General features: G+C 39.4%; 1 long non-coding RNA gene across 1 annotated transcript in view; it reads left to right on the forward strand.

Moving 5' to 3' along the window:
• LOC105379371 (uncharacterized) overlaps positions 1-20,062 on the forward strand; it is a 73,309-nt gene that overhangs the window by 35,700 nt on the left and 17,547 nt on the right. Inside the window, exon 2 of the long non-coding RNA XR_949668.2 lies at positions 8,544-8,718. This is a non-coding gene — a long non-coding RNA (uncharacterized LOC105379371). The remainder of the gene's footprint in view (positions 1-8,543; positions 8,719-20,062) is intronic.

A 20,062-nucleotide genomic window follows, 5' to 3' on the forward strand; every position in this document is an offset into this window, starting at 1 on the left:
CCTTGGGGGTCAGTCCTGTCTTTATGTACATAGGAGAAAAATCTCCTCTAGAGATTGTTGACCTCTAAGGATTTTTAATATAAAACTCTCATTATACCACACAACCATATTTGGGGAAAAATATGTTGATTTGACTATCTAATCAATGAATAGGGCCAGGAAGAAAGACTAAAAATTCTTATTTGTGAACCACAAACACAGAACCTCAGAAACTTTATTCTCATCCTCCAAGAAGTAATATTCCTTTGTAATTCAGTAATTCTTTCTCTTTCTCGCTGTCTCTCTGTTTTTTTTTTTTTTTTTTTTTTTTTTTTTTTTTTTTTTTTTTTTTTTTTTTTAATGAGACAAGGTTTCACTGTGCTGTCCAAGCTGGTCTTGAACTCCTGGACTCAAGCAATCTTCCCTTCCTCAGCTTCCCCAGATCCTGAGATTACAGGCATGAGCCACCATGCCTGGCCTGGTGATTCTCTTTAATGATTAAAAAGTCAAAAGTGAAATTGTAACTGCCCAGTGAGTTATTCATGTCCGCTGCACAGACAAAATCAATCCACTGAGACCATAACATTGCAGTAAAGAAAGAGTTTGATTGACATAAGGTCAGCCACACCACCAGGAGACAGAATTTTACACAAATCAATCTCACTGAAGGCTCAGAGGTTAGAGTTTTTTTCCAAAGATAGTTTGGTGGGCCGGGCACTAGGGGAATGGGTGCTGCTGATTGGTTGGGGATGCAATCATAAGGGTGTGAAAAATGGTCCTCATGTGCTGAGTCCATTTCTGAGTAAGGACCACAGAGGAGTCACTGGTCTGAGTGGGGCCATCGAGTCATCAGAAATGTAAAAGCCTGAAAAGACATCTCAAAACATCAATCGTAGGTTCTACAATAGTAATGTTATTTATAGGAGTAATTGGGGAAGTTGCAAATCTTGTGACCTCCTGAATACTGGCTAGTAATCATTTAACTGCACTTACGTCTTAAGTAGAATTCAGGCCCATCGCATCCTCCTAACCTGATGCCCTTTCATTAGTTTTACAAGGGTGGTTTGGTTTGGGGAAGAGCTATTATTTAAACTATTAACTAAATTTCTCTCAAAGTTAGCTTGGCCCAGGCCCAGGAATGAGCAAGGACAGCCAGCCTGTGAGGCTAGAAGCAAGATGGAGTCAGCCATGGCAAATTTCTCTTACTGTCATAATTTTGCAAAGGCAGTTTCAAAATAATGTGACACTAACCCTACTGCTTGCCCACTCTTCTGGGACTTATTTCTCTATCACATTCCCTGGCTGTTCACACACACACACACACACACACACAACACAATGTGCAAATCAGGCAGAGAGCAGCACACTCTTGCTCATTAAGAGATGACAAAGACCTGCAGCAGAATGTCCAGTGGAGCGAAGTCTAAGCTAACAGACTGAATAAATATTCAGTGTGCTCCAAAATCCTGATTATCAGGACAAGAGCTAGAATATCTAATGCACAAGTAGGCTCAATTAACCCTAATTAGTTCAGAGTCAGGCTACAAAAGACTTAATTAGCAGTTATTAGGTGCTGCTCAGAAAAGGAGCATAAATAATTGTTGGTAGCAAGCTGTGTTTAAGAGTCTCCTAGCTGAGTGACATAAAATTTTTAAAAAAGTAAAATCAATGTTCCTCTATTAGGGATTAAATTTAAAATAATAATATGGGTATTGACTTAAATTTCATTTATTCGGTGTGGATCATTGACTCAATTTTATTTTTTCTGGACAACTTGGATGCTTCAGGAGAATTTCAGGAGGAATTTGAATGTTCACTTCTAATGGTGTGATGGTTACAGTCTACCACAAAGAGAAGGACACCTGCTGTTGGGATGATGAGTGGCCAGCAGAGATCAGAGGGATAAATGAAAGGTTTTCCTTGAGCATTTCTAGAGTTAGCCTCTGGAGGGTCTCACACAGTGAAAGGCCAGGGAAGAAAGATTGATAAAGAAAGAGAGCAGAGAAACTGAGTTACGATGAACACGAAGTTAAGCTAGTGACCAAAATCAACTCTGAATTGTCCAAGCCTGAATCCTGGCTGTATAGCAAATTGGGTTCCTTTAGTCTAGTGCAAATTCTTTCTTCTTTCTGGCCCCATTTATTCATCAACATTGTTTCTCACAGGAGCCAAAAGTTAAAGACCCCCTTCTGAAAATTCACTTGCATAAAAAATGTACAATGACCAGATTAAGATTGAAAAACAAAGGTAAAATTGACAGGATAGATGGCTCTCCACCAAATTGCCCTCTCTCTCTCTCTGAGGCTTTCTCAGAGAGGCAGAATATTATAACATTTCTCTTAAGTTTTGTAATATCCTACATAAAACATGGGCTCTACATGAGTGAAACTTAGAATATATTTTAGAACACTACAGGGTTCTTATATTTTAATGCATCTTTATTTAACATGACTATAAATGTTATTGCTCATAAAACTATTCAGCCTTGTCATAAATTATTTCGTAGAGGAATACTGTTTGTAGATGTAAACACAGAAAAGCTGTCTTTAAAGAGTCTACTTAAATCAACCATTAATTTCATATGATAACCACCTTCTATTTAAAAAAAAAAGTGCCAAGGGACAATCTCGGAAGAATGGAGGTGTATTAGTTTTGTATTGCTGTGTGATAAATTACCACAAATTTAGCAGCTTAAAACAACACTCACTTATTAGCTCACAGTTCTATATGTCAGAAGCCCTGGTTGATTTCACTGGGCTGTCAGAAAATCAAAATTAAGACGCTAGTCAGGTTGGGTTCTTATCTGGAGGTTCCGGAAGAATCCTTTTCCAAATTATCCAGGCTGTTTTCAGAATCTAGTTCCTTGTGGCTGTAGGCCTGAGGTCTTCATTTCCTTGCTGACTGCTAAAGCAAAGGCTGCCTTCTTCTCCCAGAGACTGCTCATATGCCTTCTTTCATGGCCCCACCACCTTCAATGCATCAATTACACACCATGTCCTTATTCTTTCAATGTCTCTGACTTCTCCTGATGCTTCAGCTGGACAAAACTCAACTGCTTTTAAAAGTCTCAGGTAATCAGCTTGGGCCCACTTGGAAACCCCTTTTGATTACTCAAGTTCATTTGATTAGTAACCTTAATTACCTCTCACAAGAATCCTTTTTGCTACGTGACCTAACGTAATCATGGGCATGATATCTCGTCATATTCATTGTCTTAGGGATGAAAGCTCAATTTTTCCTGTATCTACACATAGTACCCTGCTGAGGGCAGAGGGCGGCAGTGGTCACTAGGCTGCAGAAGGAGAGGGAGGCCATCAGGGTACTGCCAAGGGGTGGGAGAGAAGGTGGCTGAGAATATATCCTGGGGACATAGGGAGACATTGGGAGGTAGGCTGCACATAAATCAAGACTTCAAGCTTCCAGCACATGCTGTATTGGCCCATTGGACTTTACTTACAAAACACAAATTCAGAGATACAATTATTACGAATTTCAAGATGGCAACTGCAGAATATTAAAGCCCAGTAGGGATCTCCTTTCTCAGTGTAGAGCTCTGTGAGACTTATACCCATGAAGTTGACCCTGGAAATAAGCACTATATAAGTGACTGCTGATGTGTTTTTAGTAGTAATAGTAATATTTTGTAGACAGCAGACACTGAAAAGGCAAAAAGTCTGGTTGCTTCAAAATATCTGTGCTATTCTTATTTTGTACAAGCTGACCTAAAAATCAGGCCTGATACAGAGACATCTTACATTCCATGATGCTTTTCCAAAGGGCTGTGTATAAGCACTTCAAACCATTGACTTATGAAAAATGGTGGAAGTGATACTGACATTCTACATGATATAAACTCTCCTGCTTATCTACTTTTTCTGTTGTTCTGGGTATTGTTCTAACTCTCTAGTTGGAAATCTGGCTCATTTTACCATCACTGAAATTAATTAAAAATAAATCAAACTTACATTCATTCTATTTTTTTAGCTTACCATACAATTCAATTCAAATTCAATTTTATTACAGAATAAGTTATGAAAATTGCATGTAGTTTTTCCTTTTTTCCCCTTTCTTTGCTGTCAAATCGACTATAGATGGTACAGGCTTAATCCCAAGGAAACTAATAAAGTGAATTGTTCACACAATTACATATTATTTTCCTATTACGCAGAACTCTCTCTGGGCGCCCAATGCTCCGTGATTGACTGATCTGTGAAGCCAGAATCCTCTCTGCTTTTGAGCTTTGAGTATTCAGTCATCTCTAAATTTTTGACAAGGCTGTTTAAAGAGTGGTGTGACTGCATCATAAGACCACTCACAAACTGCGACATATGCTTTGTTCTGTGTGGGGAAAAATTAGCATCATTTACAAAAGGAAAAGAAAAAAACCACACACATACACACACACTCCAAAATTCTTTAAGAGTGGTGAGCTGAGGCAAATATGATATATATTGGAGAGAGATGGATCTGGGCTCTTGGCTAATATAAAATGATGAATCAAAGGGCATCAGTGACAGCAGACAGTGGGCCTAACTATCTCCAGAGGGGGGGCATTCAGATATTCGATCTTCTCCAGGCTATCATGTGAGTTTTCAGAGTGCAACAGGAGTCTCGAGTTTCACCAGGAGGCCACGGTGTCAATACAGAGCCAAGCCAATCCTACTCTTCGGGTGCTAGGAGACTTGCTTAAATAAATCTGGTCCCTTTTTCAGTTGCATAGCTCTATTCTAAAACTTGAACTACTCCTAATGATACCTTTGTGACTCCAAACACCATAAGCCAGTGTTGATAGTTGATCAACACCATTTGATTTCATTATATTACTGTTGATAGAGCACTTTATGTGGAAAGCATTATGACAAAGAGACAGTGTCATGTGACGGTTAACAACTAGGCTTTTCCAGCTGTGGAACCTGAGACAAGTAACCAAATCCCTGTATGCAATAAACTCCTCATGCATATCATGGTGAGAATAACCATAAGGATTGAGTACAAATAGTTTACTTCTGAGATGATCCCAGGAAACATTGGAAAGGGAGCTAGGGAGTGAAAAGAGGAAAGGTAACCAAGGAAGGATGGCCTAGAAAGTAGTTATTGTTGTGATACCTGGAGCAAAGACAGAGTCTCCAAGTGTGGTTTGTGGTTGACTCACCTCAGCATCACATTGGCATTAGTTATAAATGCAGATTCTCAGGCCCCACTCCAGACCCACTGAATTAGAAGCCCTGCATGTGGACCCAGCAAACTGGTCTAACAACCCTGCAGGTGATGTTGATGCACACTCAAATTTGAGAACTAATGAGCTAGAGAACTCTGGGAGCTGGGAGTTGTGCAGAATAACTTTCTCAGAGCTATCTCACCAAGGGGAATATGTTGCTGGGATATTTATATGCCAATTCCCATCAGTAATTATGGAGGGCTGTTAAAAAGAAGACATTGGAAAGAAACATTAATTCTCCAGCACTTTAGTCTGTGATGCCCTTGAGCTGAGTGGATTCTGAAGTAAACCTTTGGCAAGGAGGTGTGGGTCCTGCAGCTGGAGTCCTGGGAGCATTACAATAGCCAGGCCCACAGGCATATGACGGGGACATCAATGGTGTCTTAAGGATTGAGATAATGCAGTAAAGGGCATATCATAGTGCCTGGCACAAAAATCCTTTGTGTATTAAAATCTAAAAGTAATACAAAGATCAACTAGCTGGGATGCCTGCCCTCAAAGAGTAGATAATTTACAAAGACAGTTAGGACACAAAGACATGAGTAGGATCTAAAGCAGATGCAATAAATGCTATGCGTGATGGAGGTGCAGAAGGGAGAGATCCTATTGGATTATAGGGGGAATAAAGGCACTTTGAATCAGTGGCATCTGAGAAGGGAGGGGTAGGCTTTTTGGCAGGCTCTGATGAAACAAGAGGGCTCATTTAACTGCAAAGAAAGACACAGGTCGCTGTGTTAGCTGCCTCATCATCACTGGAACTCAAGTACCTGTTGAATCTGAGATGCCACATATCCATTAACAAAATACAAAGAACTTCTGTGGCTAACAAATTTGAAGTGTAAGGATGCTGAAGGTTAGGGTTTCCCTGCCACATCACATCTCCACCTGGCTCACTAATTTTTTTTTGGGGAAAGAATTAAGGCTCACTGGTTTGCAAAACACAAAACATGTTTCAACTAACCCCACTGATGTGATGCTTTCCTGGGGATTGTATGGAAATGAGAGAGTGCTGATTTCATTTTTTTCAGTAACATTATTACCATTATAACATCACTTTTATAGTCTAAAGCATAGCTGCCAATATGTCCTATGAAAATTTTAGTCATGTTAAGTTAAAAAAAATAATTACTTCTGAAAAGGTGAGTGTAGTGGAGCGAAGAAGTAAGTTGAGTAGCATGAATACAAAATTCTACATTTTTGAGTATTATGTTGCTGGAATCCCTGACCTCACAGCAAACTGCATTCCCTGACTCTGGCTATTTTACTTCCCAGATTTTCTTTGTCCATCCCTCCTCAAGAAAGCAGCCCCTTAGGTTTCAATTCCCCCTGATGCATGCTACATTCTGATGCACCTCCAGTGCCTCGCTCTTCTTTCCCTTTCATCGGCTCAGTGATAACAATCCATTACTAACCAAGTATTGAGGCTCTCCTACCTTTTTACGAATAGAGTTTTTTTTTCTTAATTTTCGTTTTTCTTAATCTTCGAGAACATTAGTAAGAATAAAACTAAGGAAGAGAAAAGAGGGGTCAGCAATTACGTGTTAAGCAATGGAATGGACGGACTTTAAAGATTTGATGAGAACAAGGAAGAGAACTTCCTGCCAGCTGGGCTCTCCTCCACAATGTATTTTCCAGCACACTGTGTAGAGCTGTGTGTGTGTATGTGTGTGTGTGTGTGTGCGCTTACACAATGTGGAATTCATTAGTAGAACTTGCTCTAAAAATTGTAGACCCCCTAATAGGGTTCTTGTTTAAACCTTTAAGTGTTAAAAGTATTTAGTGGTGGTGAATCTCAAGGTGTGGATTGCAGTGCCTGAGGTATTGTAAAGCATATATTTGTATGGTACTTTTTCTTTACGGGTGGGCTTGCCAGCACCATATGAACCAAATTCTCCAAATTGTGGACAAATAAAACATTCTTGTATTATAAACTAAGAAACAAGGTTCTGGGAATAATTTAGAGGACATTGCAAAATACCTTTTCCATTAGCTCAAGATTAAATGTTATGCTAAGATTTTTTAAGTGTACATAAAGCATGTAAATATCAGTTGCTTGACTCACTGGTCACCTCTTAGGCTGATTTAATATTTTATGAAGCCTTGAGTACTCATACATAACTTTATAATTTATTTCTCCAATGTTCCCCCAAGGGAAGCCTTTACCACAGGCAAAACAGTTGGACATTAGGAGTATTTGTTATTTGAGTCAAGTCAAAAGGTGAACTGAGAGGAATGGGTCTAACAGTTCCATTACAGAATTTTAAATCAGTGCTTGTCTCTCCATGGTGGGATGTAGGACATGCTACCCCAACATATAGCACCCTGGAGGTCACACTCTTACCTTGCCTGCCTTTCTGTGTAATAGTATTACATAAAGTAATTCTCAGAAAGCACAGTGGCTCACACCTGTAATTCTAGCTACTCAGGAGGCAGGAGAGTCACTTGAGCCCAGGATTTCAAGACAATGAGTTATCATTGCACTCCAGCCTCAGTGACCCATCTCTTTAAAAAAAAAAGAAGGAAAGAGAGAGAGAGAAAGAAAGAAGAAAGAAAGAAAGAAATATTCCCTGTGCTGTTAATGAAATTTCTAACCCAACTAAAGAAAGAAAGAAAGACAGAAAGAAAGAAAGAAAGAAAGAAAGAAAGAAAGAAAGAAAGACAGAAAGAAAGAAAGAAAGAAAGAAAGAAAGAAAGAAAGAATTATCTGACTTACCTCCCATGCAAGTAAAAGTGGGTCATAAAACCTTTATGTAACGGGTGCCCTGTCTTATACTTGGAGGAAAGAAATGAAGACACAGAGATGCCAAGAAAAAGCTGAAAAAAAAAAAAAAAGACCTTGCTATGTTCCCCCCAATTTTTTACCATTAGATCCTACTTTTTTGTCTAACCATGCCTCTTTTGAGACAGAGTCTCAATCTGTTGCCCAGGTTGGAGGGCAGTGATGCGATCTTGTCTCACTGCAACCTCTGCCTCCTGGGTTCAAGGGATTCTCCTGCCTCCCGAGTAGTTGGAATTACAAGTGTGCATCACCACACCAGAGTAATTTTTGCAGTTTTAGTAGAGACAGGGTTTTTCCATATTGGCCAGGCTGGTCTCGAATTCCTGTCCTCAAGTGATCTGCCCACCTCGGCCTCTCAAAGTGTTGGGATTACAAGCATCAGCCACTGCACCTGGCCTGTCCAACTACACCTCTACACAACTGTTCATGCTTCATCAAACTTAAGCATAAAAATACAGTTTTCCCTGGGTCTTTGGCTCTTCATCTCTGAAGGCCGTAGTGTCATGTGAAACTTTGGCTAAATAAATTTATCATACTTTTCTCTTGTTAACCTGTCTTTTGTTATAGGGATTTCAGCCATGAAACTTTCAGTGGCAGAGGAACAGATATTACTTCTTCTCTCCTATATTCCCAAAGAATCCAGCCCATTGTAGAGATTGAATGGCATTTGAGAATAAAGAGTAGAGTTCAGTAGACAAATCAGAGATTAAGGATAAAGAAAGTACAATCTATCTGCAATCCTGTAAGTATCTGGATGTGGAAAATAAAATGCAGTATCTTTCAAGCATACCATACATTTTTTCATTTCCCTCATTTAACATGTACTTATTGAAGAATTTCTAATATACAAAGCTAGGTACTGTAGGGGGTATAAAAGGAATTAAGAAATGCATTTGCCTATGAATAGATTATTATTTATTATAGTTGTGCAGGATAAAGCTAGCATTTATACTATGTGACAAGTGGTAAGCAGTTCATAAAGGTATGCATTTAGTCTACTACTATATATTGGAGATGAAGGAGGGTATGGAAGAAAGAGACAGGTAATTTTAGTATAAAAGGTGATTTTATGGGATCAGGAATTTGACAAATTTTAAGCTGTATTATGCTAACTAGATAGGCTTACCAGGTGTCATAGGGAAGGCCCCAGTGTGGCAAATGTAATGTGTATTGACCTGGCTCTCTGAACAGGCTGTCACAATGAGAACTGGGTGCTAGTTCACAGGATACCAGTGTTTGCAGCTTTATGGAAGCAGTACAAGTCAACATTCTGTCACTTTACTTTGGTGGTATTAGAAACCGATCTACTTAATGTACAGTGTAACTCCAGTTATAAAATTTTAAACAGGATACAAATTTTATTCTTTTTTCTTTCATGGACACTCATAAAAATATTCCCTGTGCTGTTAATGAAATTTCTAACCCAACTAAATTATGCAATATGCAACACTGCCATGCAAATTCAGTTTTTTTTACCTACAATAAGAGCACTTACAGTCTACATTTAGGCAACACTAATGTATTGCTAGAGCTAGCAAAAGGATATAAATTACATATAGTGCCTATCCTTCTCCCTTAACTCATTCTATTATATTTAGCCATCATAATGATGATGGCAAATGGAGCTAGTGTTATCTAAAAGCTCAACTGGGCTGGATGTTCATGATGGCCTTTTAACTCACACGTCTGGTGCCTCACTTGGGATGCTTGGAAGAGTTGGTAGTAGTCTGGGTATTTTCTTTATTCATATAGCCTCTCTACATGGCTAGCTACTTGGGGTTTCCTTACAGCAGGGAGTTCTCAAGATAGATTCTTATATGGTGAGTGGTTTTCCCTGAACATGTATTTCAAGAGACTAATGCAGAAATTTCATGGCATTTTTATTTTTACCTCGTCTTGAAATTAACCCAATACCACCACACAGGACCTGGGAACTATGGTTCATGGGGGGTGAGGGGTTTCCTTTTTGGAGACTAATGACTGCATTTGTCATTATTGAAATATGTCATTGCTTGACTTTGGTAGACTCTTGTTATAACCACTTCAATGACATAGTCAACAGAATTTAAAATCCACTTTCAAAAGAGTATCTAGAATAATAATTTGAAATCTGCATTAGAGTCTACCCAGCAATTTAACCAATTATTTAGTTATTGAATATTCATTATCTGCTGTGCACTGGAGACTGTGCTGGATACTGGTGAATTCTCATAGGTAAATTGGGTAGATACCTGAGGAAATTGAAGCTCAGAAGATTTGAATAGAAGTGGATTGACCTCCCCAACGCAGCTGAGTCAGGTGCCCATACAATGCAGTAACATCAAGAATACTTACTGATATAAGAAACAAGACAAAAAACCCAGAAATCTTGTCAAGGATTTCCATAAATAGGACTTAAGGCATATGCTGTAATGTGCTTTGTAGTTTGACACTGAAAACTCGAGTGATGGATTTGTTATGTTTAGTAAAAAAAAAAATCCTTGATATTGTCTCTTAAAATATAACTCAATCCAAACCACACTTACAAGTATTGTGCTAAATGACAGGGGTTCTAAAACTTTCCAGAGTGCCAGAATCACCTATAGGGCTTGTTAAAGCACAGGTGGCTGGGTCCTATCCCCAATTTCAGATTCAGTAGGTCTGGGATGGGGTCCAAGCATTTAAATTCTATCAAATTCCCAAGTCAGGTTGAGGCTGCTGCTAAAACAACCATACTTTGAGAGGTACTGCTGAATGGTGTTGAAGAAAGCCAGAGATGAACAGAGGTTGAAGAGGTGAAGATAGATTTATTAAAAAAAAAAAAAAAAAAAAAAAAAACTATTGCAATAGGGGATGAGAAACTCCAGTGTAGAATTGGACATAATTCCAAAGACAATCACAACAAGTGGGGATTTCTAACTGTATTAGCCTGTTCTCAGGTTCTTGGGTATGTCTGCTATTAGGACATACCCAGGACTGGGTAATTTATAAAGGAAAGAGGTTTAATAGACTCACAGTTCCACATGGCTGAGGAGGCCTCAAAATCATAGCAGAAGGCAAAGGAGGAGCAAAGGCATGTCTTACATGGTGGCAGGCAAGAGAGCGTGTGCAAGGGAACTGCCCTTTATAAAACCATCAGATCTCATGAGACTTACTCAGTATCACAGGAATAGCATGGGAAAAATCCACCCCCATGATTCAGTTACCTTCCACCAGGTTCCTCGCATGACATGTGGGGATTTTGGGAGCTACAATTCAAGATGAGATTTGGGTGGGGACACAGCGAAACCATATCAATAACCAAGGAATAAGATGAGGAGGTAGGGCACTGGTGGGTCATCAAGGCTGCGAGGACTTCTGGCTGAACTGACCTAACAGAATTCTTGCTGCAGGAATGCTAGGGTAATTTGATATCATCTGGGGATAGCAGGGATGAAGAGTTTAATCAGGGACCAGCTATTGAGGGTGGGGAATTCTCACCAAACGGACTTAGCAAGATTTTTGCTAAAACTGAACTCTACAAGGAAGTACACAAATTTTCATTTTTAGAGAGAGGGTTCAGGGGAGCTGGACTCAGATTTGATCAAACAGAGTCTTTGTCAATGGTTATCCACAGTGGAGAACAGTGGTGAAAAACAGATATGAAATCAAACAAGACCTCCAGTAAGCCTTAAGCATGTTAATCTTTTTAGCTTAGTTTCCTGGTCTTTACAGTGTGAATAATTAATATTAGCTACTGCCTAAGATTGTTGTGTGGATAAATTATATACAGCGAAAGCTAAATAAATGTTCATCATACTAATAATTATAATCCCATAAAGGATGTAGTCCAATTCTCATGCATCTTACCTGAGGGGCTGTTGTATATTTTGTGTCATGTACATTGGATTTCCCGCAGTCACCTTCCAGACTATAAAGCTGACCACTCAGCTCAGTGCCTTTCCCTGGCAACTTCGGAAGGGAAGAACTATTAGAGATTTCTGACAATCTGTCTTCTCCCTTCTATATAGTGCATAAAATCTAGAAGTTAGGTATTTAAAATAATCTACAGGCTCAAAAATAAATCTTACTGTTTTCAAGTTAACCTCCTCCTGGGGTTGGTATTAAAAAAGAATTAGGTTTGCATTTGTTGAGCTTTGCAGGATGCCCTGATAATGCCTCAGCAATCAAAATGTAATTATAAAATAGGGATGTTTAAATTGCCAAATATATATATATATTTTTCTATTCAGTCTGAACTATAACAGTCAAGCATGTGAGTGCATTAAGGTGAAGATGACGGACCAAATTCCAAATAACTTAGTAAGCTTTGTGGTTAAATGCAGGGTAGTAGGTAACAATAACAAAACACCCAATAATAAATAAATCACAGCATATTTTCTTGATTATCTATAAATGTCATAACCCTTGCTAAAAGGACTTTCTTCTCCAATAACATAATCCTTGCTGTGAGGCTGCTGGGAGTAGATAGGATGGAAATGCAATCCTTCTGCTCTTTTTTTCATCGTACCATGGCTTCACCCACTGGGTCCCACTCAGTTTCTTCTGTGTGTCAGTGTACCTACCCATACTATATTAAAATTTTTGAACATATTGCAAAATAAAAAATCTCAAGGCTCACAAACTTCTTATACAAAAGGAAAGGTTAAGCTGAGAGACTGAGTCATGCAACACTCTCTTACAAACAAACGAGCAGTGGTTACTAACATTACACGTTTAGCAGATCCCTACAAAAGGTAAAAGGCCTCAGGGATCTAGGAAGGACTGCCCCCACAGATCATCCATAAGTAAATTCTTTGCTGGTCTCCCTAAACAAGGACATGCCAATTATAACTTTAGGTCTACAATCCAAGTCTAGCTCCTGAAACTAAAGTCTGTTTGATTCCACATAGATAATGTTGTCTTCCCAGGTGCAGGACAAAGACTAGACTAATTCTTCCACCTTCCAAGAGAGGTCTGCATAATTGATTCTTCTTTTACTGCCTTTTTCTCTTCAAACATTCACCTTCTCTTATGTAAAATATAGCTAGATTTACTGAATACTAACCAAGGTCTCACAAGAATGTAACCATTCATCTTGCATCTTACTTGCCCCTCTGCCTACCTGCCTTTCCTCCATTTAAGGAAACGTATACGTACTAAACCTCCTGAAAACTTCTTCAGAAAAACAACCACAGGGCTGGGCATGGTGGCTCACACCTGTACACCTGTAATCCCAGCACTTTGGGAGACCGGAGTGAGAGGATCCCTTGAGCCCAGGAGTTTGAGACCAGCCTGGGCAATGTGGTAAAACTTCATCTCAACAATAAATACAAAAATCAGCTGGGCAAGGTGGCATGCACCTGTAGTCCCAACTACTCAGAAGGCTGAGGTAGGAGGATCCCTTGAGCCCAGAAGTTTAAAAGTGTAGTAAGCCATCATCATGCCAGCCTGGGTGACAGAGCAAGACCCTTCTTAAACAATAGCAACAATAAAAAGAAAGGAAGAAAAGAAAAAAGAAATACAGCCATAGATGTCTCTGTGGTTCCTATTTTTCCTGGACATGCTTTAATGCTGGCTTAACAAAATTCAATGATTCAGACCTTTGCCTCAGTCACTCATTTTGGTTGCCATTATTCTTTGTCGAACAACAGTGAAGCAAGATGCTCAGTAGAAAAAGTTCCCAATAGTCAAAAGAGTTTTAGAAAGCAAGCCCTACCTTCTTTGAGTCAAGACATGTATTAGCGGTTGAAAGACTCAGAATCCTTATTGCAAAGAAACTAATGTTTTTCAACTATGCTAGATCATGGATATTTCATAGCAAATGAATGGCCACAGACTACACTTTTTGGGGAATGCCACCCCAAGTTCTAATTGTCTCACATTTAATAGGTTGTAGAAGTTCATGAACTGTCTTCAAGGTTTCTTTTTCCTGCAAAATTATCATTTAAAAATGTGGCAAAATAAAGGCATCCCCCCAAAAAAAACGAGGAAAATTATTTGCTAGTATATCTGTCCCACCAGAAAGTCCAATGGACTGAAAGCAAATGACACCAGATATTAATTCAAATACACAAGAAGGAGTGAAGAGCAGGAAAATGACCAATGTGTGGGTAAGTATAGAATACTCTTACTATATATGTTTTTTTCTCATAATTTCTTAAAAGTACCCATAAGATTGTTTAAAGCAATGATTATAACACTGTATTACTATGCAATATATATGACAATAATTGCAGAAAGGAAGTAGGGGAATGGAGCTATATTTTTTTAGAATGAGGTCAGTATTAATCTGAAGTATATTGATACATTTAGCAACCCCTGGAGTGAGCCACTCTGAAATTTAATTTAAAAATTAATGGCTATCTCAAAGTAAAGTAAACTACTTTGAGTAACCTTAAAGTAATTTAAATGGTTTACCAAAAAATATTGGTCTAGCACAAAAAAGGCAGTAAAAAAGAAACAGTGAAACCACAAGAAAAATAAGGAGACGTATGGAAAGCAAATAGCAAAATGACAGACATAAATCCAACCATATTGATACTTACATTAAATATGAATGAACTAAAGATTCCAGTCAAGAGACACAGATCATCAGACTAGATTAAAAAAAAAAGAAACAAGTTCTAATGATATGCCTTGTGCAACAGACATAATTTAAATTGAAAGGCACAGACAGATTGAAATTTAAAAGATGGAAAATGATATACATGCAAACGGTAACCAGAAGAAAGCTGAAGTACCTATATTAAAAGAGTGGTGGAATAGTTTCATTTTAAGATCTATATTATAAAATGCTGGAAACTATTTTCTTTGCAAATGTTTAAACATATAATTGAAAATCTATTAATAGATGTATTATTAAAAAGTACAATGGGATACAATATTTTTAAAAATATATTTTTTTACAGGCTATAAAAGTAAAAATGTTTGAAGTCAGCTTTTCTACACAAATGTGTTCATTGTAGACAGAAATACACTAAGCCTCATGGGATTCTGATTTATTCAAATTTATACAATTTATAGCAAAGTAAATATTAGAAGCTCTACTCTGTCTATGTCCTGTACTTCTTATGCATTTTAAAGAGGCACATAGGATAATGATTAAGTTCATGGATTTTAGAGCTACATTTAAAAAATTCTGACACCAGCCCTTGTCAGTTGTGTGGCCATGGAAAGTTTTCTTAACCTCTCTGTGCCTCAGTGAACTCATCTATAAAATGAGAAAAATAATGGCATGTACTTCATAGAAATTTTATGAGGTAATGCATATAGCGTACTTAGAACCATACCTGGTACATGATAAGTACTCTATAAATGTGAGGTTTTTTTTATTATTATTATTTTTTACTCACTCTGTTGCCCAGGCTGGAGTGCAGTGGTGCAATCTCAGCTCACTGCAACCTCCACCTCCTGGGTTCAAGCAATTCTCCCTGCCTCAGCCTCCTGAGTAGGTGGGATTACAGGCACCCACTAACACGTCTGGCTAATTTTTGTATTTTTTAGTAGAGACAGGGTTTTGCCATGTTGGCCAGGCTGGTCTTGAACTCCTGACCTCAGGTGATCCTCCTGCGTCGGCCTCCTAAAGTGCTGGGATTACAGGCGTGAGCCACCGTGCCTGGCCGTGAGTTTTTATTCAGAGCTTTGAAATGTTCAGTTGAATGTCAACAGACAAATCATGGTCACATCTGCCAGCACATTTCCACAATGCAGGCGCAGATTTCAGTGCTCCTGACTCAGATGTTGAATCTACATCTGGACATCAAGTCATTTTAGTAGTCAGCATTAGAGAGACTGAGTTGCAAAGAGGAAGCACTGAAGAGAAAGTCTTGCTAACAAGATAATAGGTGCTGAACTCAGCAACTTTTGCTGTTATTGCTGATGAAGGGGAGACAGTGCAAAATGTGAGATGTGGGACACCCAGAGGAAAGTCAGAAGGACGCACAAAACTTATGGCTTGCTAGAAGACTAGAAATGGAATACTAGGTCTGCAGTAAGGCCAGATGGCAACTCACTGACCTCTGAAATTCTCCTTGTAACAAACAGCCTTTTTTCTAGCCCTCTGCTGCCCTCCTCCCTCCCTAACATCTATGTGCCTGGTTCACAGTCCCCCAGACACAAGCCACGTTCTCTTGCCTCGGTGCCTTTGCTCACACGGATGACCTGTCCTGAAATGCCTCTCATTCTCTTAGTACTTTTCATCTCCCACCTTTCGCCCTGCTTAATAGGGTGCAATTCATTCAGCTGAGGACTTAATATGTCCTGAACCTGGGATTGTGCACTCAGATTACAAGTTCACCCAATTTTAGGATCAAGTGTGAGAGAATGCCCTTATCACACTTGATTTTGATTGTCTACAACTAAAGGTGGGCACAGGTGTTCTGTGAGTGCAGACAAGAGTCTTACCCAGCCTGGGGGTGATCCGCAACCACCTCCTGAATGGTTTGGTGAGTTGTAGTTAATTCTATAAATAAAGGGGAGAAGTAAAGGTTATAACACATGCAGAGGTCAGACAGGAGAGTGTGGTATGTTCATTACCACTGGAAAACAGAGCACTTGGTGTCAAAGTAAACAAAATGGAGCTGAAGTGGTGGGAATGGGCCAGTTCATGAAAGAGCTTAAAATGATGGATGCTTGCTAAGGAATTTGTATTTTATTGTGACAATCATGAGAAGCCATAAATAATTTTAAGCAGTACAATAATTTGATCAGATTTGTATTTCAGAAAGAGAGCTTTGACAGCAATATGAAGAATAAATGGATTAAAAGAATGGGGATGATAATAAAGTCAGTAATTCATTTAGGAGGCTATTAAAAAACATCAATAGAGGAAAGATAAGGACCTAAACTATGGCAGTAATGATGAGAAAGGGAAAACTGAATCAATTTGAGAGACACTCTGGGAAAAATCTGTGTTCCTTGAGATGTAATTGGATATGTAAGATGAGGCAGAGAGTGAAATGCAAGATGACTCTCAAATTTTTGCTTTAGTAGCTGCAGAGATGGCAGCACCACACTCCTGAGAGTGTATATTGCAAGTGGAATAAGATAATAAGACCGTACTTGAGCATGTTACATTTAAAGTTCATTTATTGGACAGGCATGGTGGCTCATGCCTGTAATCCCAGCACTTTAGGAGGCTGAGGTGGGTGGATCATTTGAGCCCAGGTGTTCAAGACCACCCTGGGCAACATGGCGAAACCTCGTCTCTACAAAAAAATTAACCAAGCATGGTGGCATGTGCCTGTAGTCGCAGCTACACAGGATGCTGAGGTGGGGGGCTCACTTGAGCCCTAAAGGTTGAGGCTGCAGTGAGCTATGATTGTGCCACAGCACTCCAGCCTGGGTGACAGAGTGAGATCCTGTCTCAAAAAAAAACACAAAACATTAATTTGCTTATTCATTCAAAAATATTTGTAGAGAACCTCCTAGATGCCAGAGAGTACATTAGGCACTTGGCATGCAGCAGTGGATAAAACAAACAGAAATTTCTTTCCTCTTGAAGCTCACTGCAGTAGGATATCTGTGGACATCCCAGTAGGTGATGGAATTGGTTCTGGAGCCTAGATGAAAGATTGGAAGCCAGGTATGGCGGCTCACGCTTATAATTCCAGCACTTTGGGAGGCCGAGGGCAGCAGATCACTTGAGGCCAGGAGTTTGAGACCAGCCTGGATGGAAATATGGTGAAACCTCATCTCTACTAAAAATACAAAAAATTAGCCAGGTGTAGTGGCACATGTTTGTAATCCCAGCTACTTGGGAGGCTGGGGCAGGGGAATTGCTTGAACCTAGGAGGCAGAGATTGCAGTGAGCTGATATTGCATGACTGTGCTCCACCCTGGATGACAGAGTGAGACTCCATCTCAAACAAACAAAAAACAAGAATAGGCTTTTGTAGTTCAAAAAACAAAATCAAAACAAAACAAACAAAAACTTATTGTACCAAGATGCAATTTAGCAGAAACATTTAGTTTAGCAGCAGTATTTAAGCTAATGTGGGTAAGAACATTCATATAATCATCAAAACAGCTAATGACAACATACCCTGCAAGGTGAGTAGATATGTGGCACTAGGATTCAGGTTATGATGCCACTCTCACCTAGAGAAGGCTGTATACCACACTTCAAGTGGGATATAGACAGACTGGAGGACATGTAGAAAAGAGTGACACAGAGGGTGGAAGAACTCACAATTACCTCTAATGAGGAAGGGTTTGATCAAGTTGGAGTGGTTAGCCTGCAAACGCAGATAATGACAATGGTCGTCATATGGCTTGCTCTATTATAGCTACAAGGGGGATAACAAGTATCAATGGCAGGAAGATACAGGAAGATTTCAATCATAAGATTGTTGATATCTCATGCTGTCCTAAGATATTACCCTCAGATTTGATGGCCAGTCAGTGTTCTCCAGAGAAACAGAACCAATTGGATGTATATGTAGGAGCCAATGCCCTTGGGCCCCTGAATGTTCACTGAAAAATCAGCTCGTAAGAGGCTCATTCATTGGAGAAAGGCACACAAATTTATTTAATGTGTGTACATGGGAGCCTTCAGAATGATGACCCAGTGATACAGGAGAAATTATCCATTTGTATGCATAAGTTCAATAAATATGAATAGCCATGTAGAAATAGGATTGGACAAAAAGTGTATGCCCTAATGTTCCTAGACTGAGTGGGGAAACTGAGCAAGGCCTGTCTGTCTAGATTCTTCTTGGCCTCTCTGAGCAGCATTCTTTTGCTCTGGGTATGGGGCAGGACCCTCTCTGAAATGGAGGTCTTATGACCTACAGTCAAACAAAGTAAGTCAGATCATTTGTTTATGGCCAGTTTATACACAGAAAGGTAGGGGGAAATTAGACTAATATTTCTAGGTTTGATGGCTAGCTTTAGGGAAAAGGGGTTCTGGTTTCTATGACCTTCCTTGAGGAATACAAATTCTAGCTTTTATGGCTAGCCTTGAGGGAGAGAGACAGGACTGAGAGACAGGAAGGCAGGAGAAAAATCAGAGAAAACTTTTGCTTTTGAGACCCTTACATTGGGTATTGTTTTATGAATCCCAAGATATGTCTTCATAGAAAAAGGTGTATTCTAGAGAGGTGGCCCATGTGATTATGGAGATTGACAAATCTCAAGATCTGCAAGGTGAGTCATCCAACTGGAGACCCAGGAGGGTTGTGGGTGTAGCTCCAGTCCAAGGATCAGCTGGCTCCACACTCAGGGAGAGCTGATGTTTCAGAGCAAGTCCAAAGGCAGAAAAAAAGCTAATGTTGCAGCTTGAGAGCCATTAGGCAGAAAAAAAAAATCTCTTACCCAAGGAAGAGTCAGCCCTTTTATTCTATTTAAGCCCTTGACGGATTAGGGATTGGATGAGGCCTTGCCCTGTTAGGGAGGACTATCTACTTTACTCAGTCTACTAATTTAAATGTTACTTGCATCCAAAAACACCCTCTAAGAAACACCTAGAATATCTGGGTGCTTCCTGGCTCAGTCAGGTTGACACATACAGTTCGTCATCACAAGTGAGAGTTGTTTCTATCCAGAGACTGATTGATTGATTTCAATCCAGGTGTAGACAGCATGGTCAGAATTTTCAGTCAAACTAAAAAAATTTATATCTGGGTGGTGATTCAGACATAGCTCAAACAAGCTCCAGACTTTTAAAAATAAAGAAAAGTCTCAACGTGCTCAGAAATCTCGTGAAACCCAGGCAACCATGCCAGAATTGTTCAAGATTCGAAACGGTGCACTGCATTTCAGGATAGTTGTCTAAACCACTTCTCACACCTAGAATACCAGCAAAAGGCACACTCTCCTCTCATCAGTTCAAATTTTATTTGCCATTTTTGTTTCTCCTATTGTTTCTTCTCATGGACCAGTCCCAGAAAACAGAAAAGAAAAATGAAATGTGAGCATTTAAAATGTATTTTTGATTAGAGGACTTTTATAGGATCCAAGGAACTGTAAAGCTCCCAGCTCTGACAGTGCCCCAGTTCCCATTTAATCTTCATTTCTCCATTTCTAGTCAGCTGTGAGTGCAGATGTTGAAGTCTTGTTTGTTTATCAGGGGGCCAAGAAGATTTATGGTTGGGTGCATGTTCGGCTGCCTTCCATGCCCTCCTGGC

The sequence above is a fragment of the Homo sapiens genome, chromosome 8 (assembly GCF_000001405.40).
Source record: "Homo sapiens chromosome 8, GRCh38.p14 Primary Assembly".
Classification (NCBI taxonomy): domain Eukaryota; kingdom Metazoa; phylum Chordata; class Mammalia; order Primates; family Hominidae; genus Homo; species Homo sapiens.